The sequence below is a fragment of the Homo sapiens genome, chromosome 10 (genome assembly GCF_000001405.40).
Source record: "Homo sapiens chromosome 10, GRCh38.p14 Primary Assembly".
Classification (NCBI taxonomy): domain Eukaryota; kingdom Metazoa; phylum Chordata; class Mammalia; order Primates; family Hominidae; genus Homo; species Homo sapiens.
The window spans coordinates 30,744,823-30,766,425 of record NC_000010.11 but is presented as its reverse complement, the minus strand read 5'-3'; the positions used below and the strand labels follow the sequence as shown (position 1 = coordinate 30,766,425).

Below are 21,603 nucleotides of genomic sequence, written 5' to 3'. Positions count from 1 at the left end.
CTGTGCTGATGCAGTGACCCTCTTGGGCTGCAGCAGATGAGCCCATGTCTCTCACTCTCCCTTGGGTTGGTCTCCCAAATCTGGATTATGTCCAGGGATCTCAAGCTCCGATCATTCTCTCTGGATCTCTGGGTCTCAGACAGAGTGTGCAGTGGAGCCCCAAAGCAGTCACATGTCACCTTGGGTTGGGGAAGACCAAGGGTCCCAGCCTCCTGGTGTCTCTGCTCACATTTTCACCCTGGCTGCCTCCATGGGCTGTCCTATCCCCTGACAGTGCTACCGGCAGGGTCCTGCCTGGAACAAGGGGCCTCTCTGTAGATCCCATTTCAGGAAGAAACGTGGCCTCTCCCCTAATTGTAGGGGTGGAAGCAGAAAGGCAACCACAGGCCTTTTGTTGGCCAACAGAAAGGCTGAAGTTTGGTTCTCCCTGGTTGCATTTCAAAGAAGTCTAAAAAAAAACCCCCTCATTTTGCCTAAGTGCTGCCTTCACATCGTGAACATGGACACTTTTATTTGTCTCTGCCCACTGGTTTCTCCACCCCACCTGCTTCTGAGGTGGTCGAATGGGAAAATTACTCATGTCCTGCTAATCAGTTCCAGGGTCAGGCACAGGACGGTGAACGGGGCCAGTTACCGCAAGAGCTGATGAGCGCTTTATGACATGCTCCTCCAGAGGGCCGTGAACCTGGGGCCGCTCTCAGCTTCCAGTTAGGGCCTGGGCTGCAGCTGAGTGCCTTCTGGGGAGCTCTGATTCTGGGCTCACCTGGGGCTCATTTGAATGAGAACCACTAGAATAGCTTTCTACTTAGACCTGCAATTGGTGGCCAGGGTCTAATCTGGGGTAGGAAGAAGCTGTTTCTCACCACCCCCATCAGATGCTGGTGAGCCCGGCAGGACCATGGGGTGGTACATGACTCAGCTGGATTATGTGTTCAAAGGAGTATTTGATTTATTAAAGTTTGAAAATGTAAAAACCTAGTCTTTCTTATGCTTTTAAGTCCAGCTGACAATAAATCTAGGAAGTGACAGCATTCGTTTTCAGCTTCAACTCTTTGATCCCATTTTGAGCTGTCATCTCACCCAGATGGTCCATTTAAAGGCTTGGAAGCCTTCGTGGGTCCTACCTACTATTCTTAGCTTTCTCTGCAATTTGGTCCAGGCGGCAATTCGCATCTCTATCTCCCTTTCCGGCCAAATGCCTCATCATCGTAGAGGAAGATAAATGGCTTAGGAAACACTCAGGGTTCAAACGTGAAGTTACCTCAATTGTAAATATTGAGGCTTGGTTCTCAGTAATTTCCAGTTGCCATGTGTGCTTTGACTACGTGGCAGATGAGTCCAGGGAAAGGTGTGTCTTTCACCACGCCTGGCAGAACATTTCGGGGAGAGTGCCTCTCTGTCTCTCTGTGTCTCTCCTCTTGGCTCACTCTTCATCTGGAAGGCAGGTTAACGTGGACCACAGACACCACACACCTTGTCCTTAGGAGCCCCACAGTCCATCCAGGCACCCATGTCTGTCCATGGCAGAGCTGACCTCAGGGTCCGGTGGCCCCAGTCTCATCTCAGGCCTGGGCTCAAAGTGAGTTGACTCACTCACCTGGTGCTCCCCTGTCTTCTACTCAGCCATGCCATCGGAGCCTCCCCATCTTGACCTTGACTCGAGCTGTCATTTAGAACTTATCATCAGCACATAGCTAGACTTTTAGGATTCCTCCAGTCACATATTATATATATTTTTTATTGACGGATACTTCCATGAAAAGTGCTTTTTCAGGTATGACTTGGAAGAGAAATTTATTGCAGGAAAGTTAGGAAACCTTCCAACTTTAAACACACGTGCACACACACACACACACACGCTTCATGAACTTTTTCAATAATAGATGATTAAAGAAGTCTGTGGAGAGTTCTTAATGAGCTCCTTCTATGTTGTCTAGGAGCAATGATCGTTAAAATGATCGGGGGGAATTGAATTATAAATTAAAGGTGTCCAGGGTGTCCCTGATCATTTACGGGCCTGAACCCCACTAATAACACGGGGCTGGGGCTGAGTGGCCTTCATCCGGCTTGTTGAAAACCAGTAGTTGTGTAAGACTCTGACTAGTTAATTTGAAAGCTCCCCTTTGGGATCGATATATTTAATTTCAAGACCTTAATTCATGAGAAAGTTTATTCAATGAGAAACAGGCACGGGGCATTGAGCAGAGCAAAGAGAAGTGTCCACCAGGCCCGCTGCACCAACGCTGCGTCTTTAACAGCTCTGGGGCTGGGCGCGTCATGGCTACGAGAAAGCGCATGACCACTTCCCTGTTTGGTTTGGTTTGTGTTGTGTGTCAGGGCGCAGGGGTTTCTGCTTTCACTCAAGTTAATTTATTTTCCTTTTCCTTGGTAATTGTGAAAAAACAAAATAAAACCTCCTGTGAGCCTTTTGGAACTTCTGGAAAAGTCCCTTTGCTGTGAACCGCTGACTCTGAGAAGAGCTTTGAGCAGGGCTGGAAACCATTTTTCTGCAACCTTTTCTTTCCTGGGGTATGTCTGGGTGCACACAGGCTCCCCACAAGGCAAAGGCTGTCCCTGGATGGTTGGCAAAATGCGCCACACCAGAGTGGGTTTGTGTTGGCAGGAGGCATGAGAAAACCTTGCTGATGGCAGGGGAGGACGGCGACACCACGATGGGAACAAAATCCTCCTCCTTACCTCTAATTACAAAGAGGAAAAAGTCACTGAAAAAAAAAGTTTAAAATGTCTTAATATAAGAGTCATATATAATCCAAAGCTACCAAAGGCCAAGTGTTTAGGGGGAAGTTTCTGGTGGTTAACCCCACTTCAGGGGGATTTAAAGTGGTTGTGGTGAGGATTTGGTTCCAGGTATGCGTCCTGCCAACCTGGGTGGGTGTTCCCTTTGGTGGAGCCTCTTGAAAAATGAGGGAGTGGCTGGGTGCAGTGGCTCATACCTGTAATCCCAGCACTTTGGGAGGCCGAGGCGGCCAGATCACCTGAGGCCAGGAGTTCAAAACCAGCCTGGCCAACATGGTGAAACTTCAGCTCTACAAATATACAAAAATTAGCTAGGCATGATGGCAGGCTCCTGTAATCCCAGCTACTTGGGACGCTGAAGCAGGAGAATCTCTTGAACCCAGGAGTAGGAGGTTGCAGTGAGCTGAGATTGTGCCACTGCATTCCCGTCTGGGCGACAGAGCAAGACTCCATCTCAAAAAAAAAAAAAAAAAAAAGAGGGAGTGGCTGGGTGCAGTGGCTCATGCCTGTAATCCCAGCATATTGGGAGGCCAAGGAGGGAGGATTGCTTGAGCCCAGGAGTTCCAGATCAGCCTGGGCAATGTGGCAAAACCCGGGCTGTACAAAATCCATAAAAATTAGCGGGGCATGGTGGTGCGCGCCTGTAGTTCCAGCTACTTGGGAGGCTAAGGTGGGAGAGTTACTTGAGCCTAGGAGGTTGAGGCTGCAGTTAGCCATGATTGTACCTCTGTACGCCAGCCTGGGTGACAAAGCAAGAGCCTGTCTCAAAACCAAAACCAAAACAAAAAACAAAACAAAACAAAAAAACAAATGATGGAGAGTTTTTACTAGGATTGGTCTGATCAGGGTAGACACTGTGCCTTCAGCCTCCCTCTCTGGCTCACTGCCAGCATGTTCTTGGCTCTCTGGTCTGACTCCATCAGTGGCCCCCATGGATACCCAGTCTCCTTCTGGGGCTCAAATCCTAATGCCTGTCAGACGTTGGATGCTGCCCTAGTGGGATGGCCTTGCAGACTCATTCTCTCTGCAGAGCTCTCTGGGTCTGCTTGGGCCATGGAAGGCATGCAAAGTCCTTGTGATGTGAGGCCGATTATGGCTCAGAATCTTCCAGACACTGAACTCTGCATGGCTCCCCGAGTGCAGAAACTTACCATATCTTTAGAATTCCTGTCTTTTGTTTTTCTACATTAGTACAGTTGCACAGCCCTCAGCCAGACCTTGAGAAGGTGGGAGGTGATGGAAGAAAGCTCTTCCATGGAAGCTGTGTGTACTACAGGAGGACCTTGAGGTTAATAAATGTCACTCCACATCAGCATGGACCTCTTAGACAGGTAGGAGAGATCTAAGTGGTCCCTTGGCCCTCTCATTTCAATATCTACGACATCACCTTGACCACCCCAGAACTCTCATCTTCTGAAGTCCTGCCTTGTCTGTTGCCATAGCTAGCTGTCTTAGTGGGCTCCTATAACAAAATGCCATAGGCTGGATGGCTTGCAAACAACACAGCTGGCCTGCACGGTGGCTCATGCCAGTAATCCCAGCACTTTGGGAGGCTGAGGTGGGAGGATCACTTGAGGTCAGGAGTTTGAGACCAGCCTGACCAACATGGACAAACCCCATCTCTACCAAAAAATACAAAAATTAGCTGGGCATGGTGGTGTGCACCTGTAGTCCTAGCTACTGGGGAAGCTGAGGTGGGAGGATAGCTTGAACCTGGGAGGTGGAGGTTATAGTGAGCTGAGGTTGCACCGCTGTACTCCAGCCTGGGTAACAGCGTGAGATCCTGTCTCAAAAACAAAACAAAACACACACACACACACACACACACACACACACAATTTATTTCTCGTGATTCTGGAGCCTGGGAAGTCCCAATCGAGGCCCCAGCAGATTCTGTGTCTGGCGAGAGTTTGCTCTCTAGTTCACTGACAGCCACCACCTTCTTGTTGGGTCCTTACATGGTGTAAAGGATGAGGTAACACTCTTTTTATAAGAGAACTGATATAGTTTGTTTCTCCAAACCTCACATTGAAATGTGATCCCCAGTGTTGAAGGTGGGGCCTGGTGGGAAGTGGTAGGTCCTGGGAGCAGATCCCTCATGAATCACTTAGTGCCCTCCCTGTAGTAATGAGTGAGTTATCGTTCTATTGGTTCATGCAAGAGCTGGCTGTTTAAAAGAGTCTGGCACCTCCTCCCCACTGTCTTGCCATGTGACACACAGGCTCCTCCTGCACCTTTCAGTATGATTGGAAGCTTCCTGAGGCCTCACCAGAAGCAGATGCCAGCACAATGCTTCTCATACAGCCTGCAAAACTATGGGCCCAAATCAACCTCTTTTTTTTTTTTTTTTGGAGGTGGAGTCTTGCTCTGTTGCTCAGGCTGGAGTGCAGGGGTGTGATCTAGGTTCAGTGCAACCTCCGCCTCCCGGGTTCAAGTGATTCTCCTGCCTCAGCTTCCCGAGCAGCTGGGATTACAGGCATGTGCCACCACGCCTGGTGAATTTTTGTATTTTTAGTTGAGACAGGGTTTCACCATATTGGTCAGGCTGGTCTGGAACTCCTGACCTCAGGTGATCTACCACTTTATAAATTACCTAGCCTCAGGTATTCCGTTATACCAATGCATATAGATGTATACAGACCAAATCCCTTTCACGAGGTTTCTGTTCTCATGACTCAATCCCCTCCCAAAGGCTCCCCTTCCTAATACCATCCCCTTGGGGGTTGAATGTCAGCATTTGAAGTTTGGGGAGCATTCAGACCATGGTGCTACCCATGGGACTGTTTTCTCATGGGATCTGGCACTGTCTGGGGACTGTCATATCTTTCTATGAGACCATGTCCTGCCCATTTTTTTGTTGTTCCCTCACCTTCTCCTCTCAACCTCATAAGACCTGGTCCAGTCTTCTGCATACCCACTTCTAGAAAGCATTTAAGGTGATTCCTAAGATAAAGAAAATAGAGTGAGATGAGAGAAATAATTTTCAGATTAAATAAATTCTAGTTCTTTCTAGATCTGAGAACCTAAAAGTTGATGCCTACAAGATGCCTTCCACATAGAAATACACACATGAGGCTGGGCACAGGGGCTTACGCCTGTAACCCCAAAATTTTGGGAGACTGAGGCAGGTGGATCACTTTAGGTCAGCAGTTCGAGACCAACTTGGCCAACATGGTGAAACCCTGTCTCTGCCAAAAAAATACAAGAATTACCTGGTTGTGGTGGCGAGCACCTGTAGTCCCAGCTATTCAGGAGCCTGAGGCAGGAGAATCACTTGAACCTGGGAGGCGGAGGCTGCAGTGAGCCGAGATCGTGCCACTGTACTCCAGCCTGGGCGACAGAGCAAGACTTTCCATCTAAAAAAAAAAAAAAAAAACAACCAAGAAAGAAATACACACGAGTGCATCAAAAGCTCAGAAATCACCACTAAATAACTTTTCTATGTAGCCCCAAACCACCTGTTCACCAAAAACTATTGAAAAAAAATTTTAAAAATGAAATTAACAGAACAGTGTCAGGGTTTGAGATGTTTGACTCTGATGTTGAAAGAAGCTCTACCATGGGTAAAATGCTATCAGACAGCATCACCTGCTACAGGGAGATCTTTCACGAAAGGAAGAGTCAGTCGATGTGGCAAACTTCATTATTGTCTGATTTTAAGAAATTGCCACAGCCACCCCAAACTTCAGCAGCCACCACCCTGATTACTCAGCAGCCATCAACATCGAGACAAGACACCCCCACCAGAAAGAAGATTGCATCTTGCTGAAGGATCTGATGACTGTGAGCATTTTTAGCAATAAAGAAGGTCCAGGGTCTGGCACTGCACACTTGGTTATATGGAGATGCTTGTTTTTCTCCAGTTTCATACATGCAAATCTTTTTTCACTCGCTGGATTATTTATACAGCACTTAGAGAGAGGTGTCCCGAGCTACATTTGCATCCATCATAAGGCATACCAAAACTTGGGCCTACAGGAGGTGTGCAATCCAACCTTTGGCCTGATGGAAGCCCTGCCTTGAAACTGAAAGTTGCCCAGAAAGGTTACGGGAAATGCTATAATGTTTTCATTACTCATTCCCTTGCTGCATGCCCTTAAGTCTTTTAGAATGTTTGTATTATTTTATGGAATATCCAATTTCTGCACCAGTTAGGGATCTAGATTACAAGTGCAGAAACTAACTCTGGTGAGTTTATAAAGAAAGACATTTAATGGGAAGATGTGAGGTGCCTGACAGCATCTGTGGGAGGTGTTGAGAGCCACACTCTGGAAATAAGCAGCAATGAGGGGCTAGGGGAGCAAGTTCACTCTGCAGGGACTTGGTCCCGTTGTGGGTGTTTATTTCCATAATCGGGTCCTTGTCGTAGCCATCCTGGAGTCACAAAACTGCCATTTCCACAGCACTCTCTCAACCAGCTCAGTGGTGGGGCTCACCCCTTCAAGAGTTAAACCTGGGGTTTCAGTCAATGCCTTAAGAAGCAAACTTAGTGGCCAGGCACGGTGGCTCACGCGTGTAATCCCAGCACTTTGAAAGGCAGAGGCAGGCAGATCACTTGAAGTCAGGAGTTCGAGATCAGCCTGGCCAACATGGTGAAAACGTGTCACTACTAAAAAAAAAACAAACAAAAAACAAAAAAATTAGCCGGGCATGGTGGGGGGGCACCTGTAATCCCAGCTATTCAGGAGGCTAAGGCAGGAGAATCGCTTGAACCCAGGAGGCAGAGGTTGTAGTGGGCCAAGATCGTGCCATTGCACTCCAGCCTGGGCCATAAGAGCAAGACTCTGTCTCACACACATGCACACACACAAAAAGAAGCAAAGTTAGTGATTTAACTTTGTTTTCCTCTCACATAAACTGTCCAATTCTATTATAGGCAGCCACCTCATCCTAGAATCCCTGAAATCCTTCGTGTCCTGCACATCATTCTGTGGCAGACTCAGCCCAGTCCCCCAAGCCCTGCCCTCAATAAGCACTTCAATCAGATGACCTCAGGTCATAATTTAGCTAGCTATTTCCCCACTGGGCTTTAGATTCCCATCTCAGTGTAAGGGAATTTTTCTGTCCTCAGCCAGATAACAGTCCAGCTTTCCCCTGGAGTTGGTTATGGGCAGCCCACTCACAGTTAGCAATGTCTCTTCTGCTAGATTGTAAACTTCGTGGGGGCAGGAGCTTCATCAGTCTTATTCATTAGTGTGGGTGGTGCCATTGGCTAGAATATTGTGAGACATGCAATAGGTATTTGATCAATGTGTTGAATAAATGATTTGAATAGCATTCTGCATCACAGAACTATACTTAGGAAATTATTTACTGGAATTCTAAAATCCTCTATGTATAGCCAAATCAAAGAGCACATATATAGTTTATATTTTTTCTTTCTTTCTTTCTTTTTTTTTTTTTTTTGAGACAGATTCTCACTCTGTCACCCAGGTTGTAGTGCAGTGGTGCGATCTCAGCTCACTGCAATCTCTGCCTCCTGGGTTCAAGTGATTCTTGTACCTCAGCCTCCTGAGTAGCTTAGACTACAGGTATGTGCCACCATACCCTGCTAATTTTTGTACTTTTAGTAGAGTAGAGACAGAGTTTCACCATGTTGGCCAGGTTGGTCTTGAACTCCTGACCTCAAGTGATCCACTCACCTCAGCATCCCAAAGTGCTGGGATTACAGTCATGAGCCACTGAGCCCAACCTCAAAGCACACAGATATAGTTTCTTTTCTTTTCTTTTTTTTTTTTTTTTTTGAGATGAAGTCTCACTGTGTCACCCAGTGTGGGGTGCATTGGCATGATCTCAGCCCACTGCAACCTCCGCCTCTCTGGCTCAAGCCTCAGCCTCCTGAGTAGCTAGGACTACAGGTGCTTGCCACCATGCCTGGCTAATTTTTATATTTTCAGTAGAGATGGGGTTTCACCATGTTGGCCATGCTGGTCTCAAACTCCTGATCTCAAGTAGTCTGCCTGCCTCGGCCTCCCAAAGTGCTGAGATTACAGACATGAGCCATCGCACCTGGCATAGATATCGTTTCTAAGGGAGCAGTAGCATCATAGGCAAGCAGGACACATGGTTCTCTGTTAAAGGCCGGAGAGCCGCCATCCCTGGCTGTAATGTCTGGACCCACCACTGCTTCAAATCGGTGATTAAGGAAAAGGTGGGTTTGATTGCTTGAACCCATCCATGCTAACTTGGGCAAAAAGGTCCCAAGATCTGGGTTTCTTGGTCATCAGTGAAGTGGATTCAGACACAGCCTGGACCTGTTCACTCAGGTAGAAACTCTTCATGCTGAGTTATGTCCACTGAATGACCAACTGGAATCCCCAAAAGATACAAGTCTGTGAGTATTTGATACAGCAATTACCTGCATGGCATTGCTTAGAAATTTTTGTAGATAAATGATGGATTGAAGCGTTTTGTTGAGTCTTTGCTGAATGTTTATTTACAAGGTATTTCTTAGAAATTATCCTAACAAAACTCCACCAGTTCTGAAGACACATTTATTTATCTACTACTAAGTACTAACAATACAAATAATGTTCACAGTAGTTTATTTGTTGTTACGCAACTTCTTCATTTCTGGGGAAATAGTGAGACAAGTACTTCCCAAGGGCAAGTTAGTATATGTTAACGCATCTCCATAGAAAGATGCTTATTGGTCAAATGGATCACAACCAAATTTAGAGAGTCTCAGACAAAATTGACCTGAAAGGGAATGATATACTTAGGCTTTGTGTCCCCACCCAAATCTTATCTTGAATTATAATCTCCATAATCTTGGTAATCCCCACATGTCCAGGGAGAGACCGGGTGGAGGTAACTGGGTCATGGGGACAGTTTCCCCCATGCTGTTCTCGTGATAGTGAGTGAGTTCCCATGAGGTCTGATAGTTTTATAAGGGGCTCCTCCCCATTTGCTTGGCACTTCTTCTTCCTGCCACCTTGTGAAGAATGTACCTTGCTTCCCCTTCGCTTTCTGCCATGATTGTAAGTTTCCTGAGGCCTCCCCAGCCATGCTGAACTGTGAGTCAATTAAACCTTTTCCTTTTTAAATTGCTCAGTCTCAAGCAGTTCTTTATGGCAGTATGAAAATGGATTAATACAGGGACCTTAGAGATCATCCACTCCAATGTCTTCATTTAACAGGAAACTGAGTGGCTCACACCCATAATCCTGGCACTTTGGGAGTGCAAAGTGGGAAGACCAGTTGACACCAGGAGTTTGAGAGCAGCCTAGTCAACATAGTGAGACACCATCTCTACAAAAACAAAAAAATTTTAAAAATTAGCCAAGTATGGTGATGTGCACATGTGGTGCCAGCTACTCGGGTGGCTGAAGCAAGACGATCACTTGAGCCCAGGAGGTCAAGGCTGCAGTGAGCTGTGGTCACACCACTGCACTCCAGCTGGGCAATGGAGCAAGACCCTGTCTCAAAAAAAAAAAAAAGATAAAAAGAAGAAATTGAGGTAACACTATTTACTGGCCTATGCTGGACTGGAACTTAGATTCATCACTTCTTAGAACTCTGACTGTTGGTGTAGGTTCTGGCCAAGGTAACTGGGAAATTAATAACATGAGCGGCCTCTTTGAAGCTTAGAGCCTGGAGAGTTCTCAAGCCTTTCTGACGGCTCCATCATTTCTTCCCTTTAGACTTGCTGTTTGCTTTACCGATTGCCTTCTTCCATAACATGCTAATGCTGCCTTCATTTTGAGGAGTCCCACAAGGCTCTCTAGACTTGGCTGGGCCCTCTTGGTGTACAGTCAGATTTCTGCATCTGGCTAAAACCCACCTGCTGTCTGTGCCTGGTTCCCAAATGCCCTAGCATTAAGTAGGGAGGAGTTCTTCCCCCAAAGTGGGCTAGAGGCAGTCAGTGGCCAGCCCTGCACAGCTGGGATTCATTCAGCAGGAGCCTGAGGCAGGCGGGCCCCACCCTAAGTGGAAACTTGTTCTCTGTCAAATACAAGCCAATGGCATCTGCCCCACACCTTCTTTACACGAAATGTTCTCTCGGCTTCTTTGGAAAGTAACTTTACACTAGCCCATCCAAGCTGAGGCAAGGAGTTGAAATCTTAGGATAGGCCCACTGGGAAGCAGGAACAAAAATTAAACAGCTCAAGATATTATCCTTTTTACCCATTCCAACGCTGATTACACGGCCTCCAGCTGGAATGTGGAGCATGAACCGTGTAGCACAGACTCAACAGCTGGAATTTATAAATGGACCCCATATTAACCCATCGATTCCAGGAGCTGGGATTTCCTGAACCCAAAGCAGTAATTTTGCAATTTTTTTACCTTTCCTTTCCATCCTTTAAGGAAGCAGGGAATGTGTGTGGGCAGAGAGGTCAATCTGGGTAGCAACAGATTACCTTTCCATGTGCTTTGTGCAGTGAACTTAGGAGCTCGGAGAGAAAGGAAAATGAAATTAGAACAGCCCACTTGTGTATTGTTCCTGGCTCGCAGAAGGAGGCCTCTGTGGTCCTAACTTTGCTTCTAGCCTTTGGAAAACAAAACCCTGACTAACATTGACCCTCATCACCCCTCCTTGAAGGGATGAAATAAACAGGGGGATCTTGGCCTGGAGAGGTGGTATTCTCCATCTCCCAGGAGGAGCACAGGGATGGAGGCACCAGGAGAGCGAAGTTCTCCTTTCAGATGGGCCCAGCACAGGCCACCGCAGAGGAACAAGAGTCAGTGGGTACATGGGCTGGGGGTGGGCTGTGGGGCTGGGTGTTAGAATAGTCCGGAACATAGCAGGTGGACTTCTCACCCCCTGTCTCTGTCAGCCTAATGTTCCTCTTGCCCCTTCTTCAGAGAGCTGCGTGGAGCTCACCCCAGGAACTGGCTGATGGTGAGAATATTAAATGAAACCAAACTTCAGCAAGGTGGAAGGTGAATTCCCACCCTCACCAGTTAATCTGCTTCCACATCTGCTAAACAGCTGCATCACCCCTGGCTCACGGGATCCCGGGGAGGGTAGGTGAGGGAACACACCAGACACTCCCAACCCAGGGTGGGCACAGGGTCCAGGCCATGGCAGCACCTAGAGCCAGGAAGGAACATGTGCATCTCCAGCTGAAATTTCCCTACTAAAGCTCCCACCGGGTACATACAGGTTAGTTAAATGGCTGGTGAACAATCCCACGGGCATTTCTCAGTAAGTTGCGAATGTGGCTCGAAGCTCCGTGGGCAGAGCCCTGTGCACACAGGCACTTGTATTTTGCCTCCTTTGACTTCCCTGTGGCTTTCCTGGCCACTCTACCTCGCCTCCTGTGGATCCCTGTCCTGGTCCAGGAGGTGTGAGGCCTCTGTTTTCAGCAAGCTCACCAGTTAAAAGGGACTGCCCGTGAGACACTGGTGACTCCCCTCCAAAGCCCAGAAGAGCAGGTGAGGCACCCAGGATTTGAGAGTTTACAGTAGGGGCCACAGTACTGGCCTTGTGGAGTAAGAGGGTCGGGGAGGAGTGGTTCTCTCGCAATGGATGGGGCCTTTCTAGACATTTAACTGGGGTCTTAGGGTTGCCGTACCCACATGTGTGAGAGGTCACAGCTATCTGGAGATAAGGACAAAGGGGAGTGTGGTGAACCCCATCTTCTGGCTGCAAGCCTGGAATAAGGAGGAGGGAGAACTGTAAATTCCCTGGGGAGGGTGTGCGATCAGGGCCAATGATTTTAAAGAACATATCCTCTGAAACAGGAGCCCCGGGGTGCTGATACAGAGAGGAGAAAGAAGAGTGTGCTGCCATATTTTATCTTCTGTACATTATGCCCTTGGCAGCCCAGGGAGCAAATGGGAAACCTGTCTTAAAAAAAATGTGAATAAGAAAAGGAAGGCAGGAAATCTAATGCTCTTTCCCTTAGATCTGTCTTTCATTTGCTTATAAGCACCTTAAAGACAACCCAGATTTATTTAGAAGACCAGGATGATATATAAAGAGGTAGAAAAGCAGGTAGGAAACTAGCAGGCTTGCCAATGACACAGAGGAAATCAGAGGTTGTCGCCGCTGCTGGGGGCTTTGCTTCAGGCCTGCAGGGATGGACTCCATCTCTCTGTGGGGACACGAGACAGCAGAGGAGACTCCCCAGAAGATGGAAGGCCGGCCACAGCATCGACACCCAAATGTCGATAAATCAGACACCGGGGCCCGCACCCTCATCACCAGGCTTAGCACACGGCTGCAGGTAAAGCCCGTGAACTTGACATCGGCACTGTTAGGAGAGCTGCTCTGATCGTGAATACAAAGGAAAGGTAGAGAATATTGAATTTCTGATTAAGCCACTGCTAGATGCTTACCAGGCCCGCTCTGATTTCTCCTGGGCCACGGATCATTTTTATGACTGGTGAAAAAATGATTATTCTCTCCATCACATTGCTTCTGCAAAAAAGGGCTCAGCCTGCAGCGAGTCTAGCCCCATCCTGCAGTGAGCGGGAGGTGGGAGGTGGGCTGGGTGACTGCAGGTGCTTTGTGCTCCGTGGTGGCTCCAGGGCTTCCCAACAAAGCCAGACCAGGGAACGCTGTGGATGCAGGCAGCCAGGGCCTTGGCTTCTCTCTGGCCTGGCTGGGGTGGGCAGGGTCTGGCTGAACAGGTAGAGGGGTGATGACCACTGTGCCACTCTGTGTGGTCTGTAATTGGCATTGAGCCTGCCCATCAGGGACAGCTCTGCCCACGCCGCCCAGTCCCACAGAGGAAGGCGCAGCCACCCAACCTGTTCTGGGAGGAGGAAATAAAAAGCCCTAGTCTGTACCAAGGAATCACCCATTTTTTCCTTAGCAGAAGCCAGGCTCTCTTCCTAGCAAGCGTCCAATCAATCTCTGAGGCTGCCTGCAGGCTAAGAGGCAGGGCCTCATTTGAGCTGTGTTTGGAGTGATAAGGGGCTGCTTGCTGTTTGATAAGCGGATGGGCAGGCACCTTCCTAAATGGGCGTCTGTCAGAGCATATTCCAGTCCTGCTGTCCCTCTGGCGCTGCCACTAGACCCAAGGGCAGTAGAAGCCGCCGGCTGCCCGCTGGGGCCAGATAATGCCGGCACTGTGCTGCAGTCACATTTAATTTTCGTGAGCTGTCACATCTCATGGGTCCTCAGCCTTGGGAAGGCTCTGCTGCCTGGAGAAGATCTCAGCCTGGCCTCCACAGTCCCCCTTCTGGGCAACAAATGGGTCCAGCTCCTGACTCCTTCTTGGAGCCAACAGCTCGCTGAGGGAAGTCAGAGGGACTGCCAGCCCACAGGCTCACTGCGCCTTCCTCAGTCTACAATTTCATCTGCAGAATGACCAAGGGGCAGCCTGAAACGAAGAAAAGACCTAGGAAGGGGCTTTTAAAAGCCGACACAAGCTCCATGGGCCTTGGCACTGTCTCCCAGAAAGCAGAGCTTCCTGGTACCTGCTCCCCCTTCCCGCCCTGCAGTTTTCTTCCTCTGGTTTTGTAATCTCTGTTAATTGCCAAGGCACTTTTTGTTGGATGTGACTTCATTGTGGACATAAGGCTCTGTCAATTCGTCAAGTGGGGTCCAAGCCAAATAGTTTTCTGATCAACTGCATCCTCCAGCGAGCTCTGGCCCAGCTTGACACAAACAGGCATTTCTTTCCCCTCGCACAGCCCCAGCTCTCTGTCCGAGCCTGCGGCCTCCTCTGCTGGTGGCCTGTCTCTATGGCATGCAGGAAGTGCGTGCCCATTGGGCCATATGTACCTATAGGAGATGTAATCTCAGAGGTTTTAATGCACATTTTTTTCTTGGCACTCCGAAATAACTGATGATGGAAAATAAATTCAGAGAATTCGTCCAGCTGGTCCTACTTCACTTCCTAACACTTGCTTTCCTAAGCTGAGCTACCAAAATTTGAGCAGCCTGGGTCTGCGAGCCACTTCTGTGCACCGGTGGTTTGGAGGCATCCTCAGCAAAGAGGAGCCGCTCGCCTCTGCTTTGCATGGGGCACAACTTCCCAAGATCTGTGAATGTGCTTTGTCCTTTTAGGTCGATTTTCTCTGCTTGTTTCTTTTGCTCAGGGCTCTTCCGGAGATGGTGCCTTGAGCATGGAGCCTGGTACCCAGCAACTGTAAATACTTCTGGAAAAATGTGTTCACAACTCAGCCAATGGTTTGCGGCCACGTGGGAGAAAGATCTAGTCTACTGAAATATTGCAAAAACAAAAAGGACATGCTTCTGTCTTACAGCGCACTGGCAGAATCACCAGTTTCTCTCAAAAGTTGTCCAATCTGGGACCTCACACACAGATGGCTTATTACTTTCTGAACTCTGCCAGCAACTCACTGGCATGTCCACACTGGAAATGCTGAGAACATCTTCCCAAACACACGTTGGGTTGAAATTCTCACAGGTGAACAATGGGACCGACACATGTGCACCAAGCAACGACATGTAGAATAAAAATAGACCAATGACCTGCACACGGCGAGGGTTTTTTCAGTTTTCTCTCAGGCTGGATTTCCTGAGGAGTAGGAGTGTAAAAGCTGTGGGTATTTGCTGCCTGCCTCAGGAAGTCCTGACTCCCCAAATAGTGGTTACAGCAAACACCTCTGCACTCTCATTCTCAGAACCCAGAAGAAGCCGAATCCAGGACTCATTTGCTTGTTGTCTTTGGAGGGCTTGTGGGAAAAGAACAATGGCTTCTGTGATACTTGGCCAGGCTTAAGGAGAAGTCATTGGCCACAGCTTCTGAGCAGAGCTGGACTCAGAGATGGACCTGGGGCAGGGCTTTGCATGCAACTGCCTCACTGAGCCCTTAATTGCCACCAAGCTTTGCATACATAGCACCTTTCCTTGGTGACTTAGTTTGTTGTCCCACCAGAAGTACTGGTGGAAAGCAGAGAAGGCACCTTCTTCAGGTCACAGGAGAACTGTATTGTTCTAGATGAATTTCTCACACCAGGATTCCTGCACATCTACCAGGCAGGTCTCCAACACCCCCACACCCCCAGGACCCTGTGAGGACCAGCCCTGCTGAGCCTTCAGAGCCTGACTTTGTCTTGCATAAGATTCAGGCTCCTCTGACGGCTCCCCAAGTTCTGAGTCCCCTGTCCCCACGCCCATCCAGCTTCATTTCCCCTCTTCCACAGCAGACCCCTCTGTCCTCATCGCGCCCCTCTGTCCATCTTCATTGCACATTGTTCCTTCAGCTGCAACACCTTACATGGTCTTCCCTCTGTTGTATCTCCCCTTCAGCCTGCAGGATCCGGGCCACATTCCATCTCCTTCATTCAACCATCTTGTCTAGCCTGAATTTCATCACAAATGCCCCCTTTTCTGAACTCCTACAGCATTTATGTATCAAATAGAACTTGCTAGTATTTTTGCCTCTGCAACTCTGTAACAACTCCTTTGAGGAGAGGGAGGTACAGTGGTGATAGGGGGTGAGCCATCTGCAGGTGGGGGCTCTGGGGCTCTGGGGGTCCAGCCGTGGCCTCCCTGCTCCTCATTAGCTGTTGAACAAATCACCCCCGCCCAGTGATTCTCAGCTTGGGGGCAATTTGTTCCCCTAGAAGACTATAGAGACCAGAGACTTTTCTGGTTGTCACAACCGGGATGGCGCTACTGGCCTTGGAGGCCAGGGATGCTGTAAAACGTCCTGCAATGCATAGGACAGCTCCCTATAACAGAAAGATTTTTCAGCCCCAAATGTCAATGGTGAGAACCCTGCCCTACATTATCTGCTGATCTCCTCACCTGTAAAAAGAAGAAGGGTATGAAAAAATAAACTGAGAAAAAAATGTGTGAAAGCAGAGGAAAACTGAAAACACTGAAAATGCTATATCCACTGAAGCTATTTATATTAGACTTCTTGCTCTTGACACCCCTGTAACAGTATTTCTTCATTTGTGGAGTAGGGTTAGTGGGATGATGGCCGGAACACCGAATGAAGGCTCATTGTGGGTGATCTCATTTGATCCTCAGAGAAGCCCAACTGCATTGGCACCAGCATAGGCCCTGCTTTTCTACAGAGAAGACGGGCGTCAAGCCACACAGAGGCAGCTCAAGGGCACACACTCAGGCAGTGGTGGAGCAGGAGTTTCTTAGTTCCCACTGTGATCAATGGTTGCATCATCTCAAGACAGTGCATGGAAAAGCATTGGAAAACGTTGGAATGCTGTACACGTGTGGTTGCAGTTGCACATCTGTGACCCCGTCCTGATAGCATGATGTCATACGTGCCTTGGAGATTCAGCGAATGCCTGGAGATTAATTAAATGTGAATTACAGCCAGGCACGGTGGCTCATGTCTGTAATCCCAGCACTTTGGGAGGCAGAGGTGGATGGATCACTTGAGGCCTGGAGTTCAAGAACAGCCTGGGCAACAAAGCAAGATGTCATCTCTACAAATAATTTTAAAAATTAGATGGGCATGGTGAGCACCTATAGTCCTAGCTACTTGGGAGGCTGAGATGGGAGGATCACTTGAGTCCAAGAGTTCGAGGTTGCAGTGAGCTGTAATCGCAACATTTCATTCTAGCCTGGGCAAAAGAGTGAGACCCTGTCTTTTAAAAGGCACAGGGGAGGGTGGGAGTAGGGAATTACTATATTGAGTTAAGAGAGGCTGAAAACTGTGAGGCTGCTGTGTGACCTGAGAGCCACATCATGAGAATCTAGTGCTTGGAAAGTACTAGATGTTAGGATAAGTCTCCATAGCCTCAGAGGAGCCTGAGACCTTGTGAGAAGGGTGACTTAGAGCCTAGGTCCTGCCTGACTGCCATTCTCAAAGGATGCTTAGCTCCTGTGCACTTTGCCAGCACACTGTGCACAAGTTCATGTAGCTGTTGAAGAGAATCAGTGAAACCAGGGTCCCGGGATGCTTTCCTTCTGGTTCCAGCTGCAGCAGAGTACACAGGCCACAGTGCTTATACCCCAGGGGTGGGCCCAGAGCCTCCAGAGTGGGAGATTCATGACACGGCTCTGTCTCCTGCAGTGATGTCATGCTCTCCTTTCAGCTAGATTTTAATTTCCAGGGAGAGCTTGCTAAGTTCACTGTCAGGATGCTTGTCCATGGGGCTGGAAGGCCCAGCCTCGATCAGCAGCACAGCATCTACTGAACCACGGTTAACTGTTGTCTTTCTGTATTGAAGGGGGTGGGGAGTGAAATCAGGCCTTGCCTGTCATGACATGGCCAGTGTTGGGAACAAAGCTTATCTTGGTCATTTATCATTTCCTCTTTGTTTTTCCATTTGGGAAGTAAGAAATTAAATTGTATCTAAAGAGAATCTCCTTCCAAGGTCTTCCTCTGAAAATCATTCTGGGACTAGAAAGGGTTTTTCCTATGCTCCGGGCAATAAAGCTTTTAAGACTGATGACATTGACAAAATTCTCTGAGTGACACGCAGGAGGCAACATAATCCTTCTGGTAGGAAAAACATCAGTCCAATAAGCAGATAACATATTGCCTGTTCCTCTGTAAATAAAACAGGACACATCAATTTCTCTTCTGCCTGTGAATGATGACCAATTTATCAAGTGTACACTGAATAATGACTTTCCGTGGGGACAGCAGCTCTTAAGATAAAGTGTTACTGCTCTAGCTACATTATTATAAACAACATCCAATTTATGGAGTTGGGAAGCAGATGCATTTCTCAGTCATATGTCACTATTATCTAGAACGAGCCATAAAATCTAGGCTGTCGCATATTTTCTGGCTGCAAACTTCAAGCAATTAATAGTCCTACAAAGCGGTCTTGATCACAGACCAATTTAGAAATTAGTTGTTCAATATGATGATTAAATTCTAGAGCTGGAACTTGCGATGGCCAACTGTGACAAATCTTATACAACTTTTCAGACGGAAGGAACTGTTTGAGACGCTGGGAGTTTTTGGTGAATTTCAAATGAGGTACCTTCACCTCAAGAGTGTGCTGTGATCTGGCCCAGCCTTCGAGAGGAGGATGAGTCACCGGCATTTTCCTGCATCCAAATGCCGTGTCTGGTCCCCAACCCCTGAGTCAGTGTTAGGGAGGCAGCAGACACACAGCAGACGCACCCTTCGCTCTGATGGAGGACAGTGTCCACACTGCTCTCCTGCCAGGTCTTTTTTTTTTTTTTTTTTTTTTGAGACAGGGTCTCGCCCTGTCACCCAGGCTGGTGTGCAGTGGTCCAGTCACGGCTCACTGCAGCCTCAAACTTCTGGGCTTAAGCCATCCTCCCATCTCAGCCTCCCAAGTAGGTGGGACTATAGGCGTGCACCACCATGCCAGGCTAAGTGTGTGTGTGTGTGTTTGTGTGTATTTTTAGTAGAGACAGAGTTTTGCCATATTGCCCAGGCTGGTCTCAAACTCCTGGGGCTCAAGTGATCCGCCTGCCTTGGCCTCCCAAAGTGCTGAGATTATAGGCATGAGCCACTGCGCCCAGCCAAGAACTTTCATTACCACCCTGCCTTTTTCCCCAGCTTAGGGAAGACATAGAAAGCTATAAGTTGGCAGGACCTTAAGTGAGAACTAGGAGATATAAGACGGTGGGAGAACAAACCTTGGAATAAGATTTGAAAATGTGACCCTGTGCAGTGTGAAGCCTATGCCACCAGAAACAGAGTGGAAAGAGTGATAAGTGCTGGGGACATTGTTGCTCACTAATAGGTTATTTTAAACATAGGGGTAGGACCACGCTTCGCACTGTCATCTGTAATGTGTGAACAAAAATAGTTTTGTGGCCGGGCGCAGTGGCTCACGCCTGTAATCCCAGCACTTTGGGAGACCGAAGTGGGTGGATCACCTGAGGTCAGGAGTTTGAGACCAGCCTGGCCAACATGGTGAAACCCCGTCTCCACTGAAAATACAAAAAACTTGCTGGGAGTGGTGCCGCATGCCTGTAATCCCAGCTACTTGGGAGGCTGAGGCAGGAGAATTGCTTGAACCCAGGAGGCAGAGATTGAAGTGAGCCGAGACTGCGCCATTGCACTCCAGCCTCGGCAACAAGAGCGAAACTCCGTCTGGAAAAAAAAAAAAAGTTTTGTTCTAGCCGGATGCAGTGGCTCACGCTTGTAATCCCAGCACTTTTGGAGGTCAAGGTGGGTGGATCACTTGAGCACAGTAGTTCACGACCCGCCTGGGTAACATAGCAAAACCCCGTCTCTACAAAAAAATACAAAAATGAACTGAGCGTGGTGGCACATGACTGTAGCTCCAGCTACTTGTAGGGCTGAGGCAGGAAGATCACTTGCTCCTGGGAAGTGAGGCTGCAGTGAGCAGAGATCATGCCACTGCACTGCAGCTTGGGTGACAGAGTTAGACCCTGTCTCAAAAGAAAAAAATAGTTTTGCTCTGTCATTTGGTTGACAAAACCTATTTCAGCACTCCATTTGCCTTGAAATACGTCTATTTATTTCTGTGGTTATTCAGAAGTGCTGTCTTTTGTGCATCTGTGGGCTGCTCAGGACGGCGATGCAGTCTGAAGATGGATTTCACTATATTGAACGTGTACTATTGCATTTAAAATTAGAGACAAGAGAAAAGAAACCACCACTCACTGATGACAAGTGTCTGGTGAAATGGACACTTGTACAGGCTGCTTGTAAAAGTACATTCTGTTATGAGACATGGGAAAAACAATTTGGCAGTAAGTATCAAAACCTGTGTTGTGGGCGCTCATGTAATCCTAGCACTTTGGGATGCTGAGGCAGGAGTTTGAGACCAGCCTGGGCAACATAGTGAGACACTGTCTCTACAAAAAGTTTAAAAATTTAGCTAGATGTTGCCCAGGCGCAGTGGCTCATGCCTGTAATCCCAGCACTTTGGGAGGCTGAGGCGGGCAGATCAGATGGTTTCAGGATGGGGGCTAGTCACAGAAAGACCAAACGTTGTTTAGAAACCTGGAACTTTCAGCCTCGCCCTCCAAGCTCTGGGGAGAGCTGAGGAGCTGGAGATTGAGTTAATAATCCATCTTGCTGCCGGGCGTGGTGGTTCACACCTGTAATCCCAGTACTCTGGGAGGCCAAGGCGGACAGATCACAAGGTCAGGAGATGGATAACATCCTGGGCAACATGGCGACAAAACCCCGTCTCCACTAAAAAAATACAAAAATTAGCTGGGAGTGGTGGCACATGCCTGTAATCTTAGCTACTCGGGAGGCTGAGGCATGAGAATCGCTTGAACCCATGAGGCAGAGATTACAGTGAGCGGAGATTGCGCCACTGCACTCCAGCCTGGCGACAGAGGTAGACTCCGTCTCAAAAAAAAAAAAAAAAAAAAAAAGCTAGATGTCATGGTGTGTACCTGTAGTTCCAGCTACTCAGGAGACTGAGGCGGGAGGATCCCTTGAGCCCAGGAGTACGAGGCTGCAGTGAGCTAGGATCGTACCACTGCACTCTAGCCTGGGCGACAGAGTGAGACCTGTTTCTAAAAAACAAACAAAAAATCCTATCTCCTTTGACTCAGCCATTTCCCTTCTAGGATTTATTCTGTTTTTTTCTGTTTTTTTTTTTTTTTTTTTTTTTTTTTGTTGTTGTTGTTGTTGTTGTTGTTTTGAGATGGAATCTCGTTCTGTCTCCCAGGCTGGAGGGCAGTGGTGCGATCTCGGCTCACTGCAAGCTCCGCCTCCCGGGTTCACGCCATTCTCCTGCCTCAGCCTCCCAAGTAGCTGGAACTACAGGCGCCTGCCACCACTCCCGGCTAATTTTTTGTATTTTTAGTAGAGATGGGGTTTCACCGTGTTACCAGGATGGTCTCTATCTCCTGACCTCGTGATCTGCCCGCCTCGGCCTCCCAAAGTGCTGGGATTACAGGTGTGAGCCACCGCGCCCAGCCTCCTTCTAGGATTTGTTTTAAGGAAAAAAGTTAGTGGAGAGTTGCTGAGTACAGCACCACTTGCACTGTCAAAATTTGTACAGAAAACACATGTCCAGCATAAGGGGACT

At 48.2% G+C, this 21,603-nt stretch overlaps 3 annotated features.

Annotated features, from left to right (window-relative positions):
* Positions 11,593-11,692: a silencer, noted in NCBI's record as "silent region_2269". NCBI's record gives its function as "represses an Ori minimal core promoter by ATAC-STARR-seq in GM12878 lymphoblastoid cells {active_cell/tissue: GM12878}" and the evidence as "EXISTENCE:reporter gene assay evidence [ECO:0000049][PMID:35858748]".
* Positions 14,267-14,316: a silencer, noted in NCBI's record as "silent region_2268". NCBI's record gives its function as "represses an Ori minimal core promoter by ATAC-STARR-seq in GM12878 lymphoblastoid cells {active_cell/tissue: GM12878}" and the evidence as "EXISTENCE:reporter gene assay evidence [ECO:0000049][PMID:35858748]".
* Positions 15,051-15,110: an enhancer, noted in NCBI's record as "active region_3228". NCBI's record gives its function as "activates an Ori minimal core promoter by ATAC-STARR-seq in GM12878 lymphoblastoid cells {active_cell/tissue: GM12878}" and the evidence as "EXISTENCE:reporter gene assay evidence [ECO:0000049][PMID:35858748]".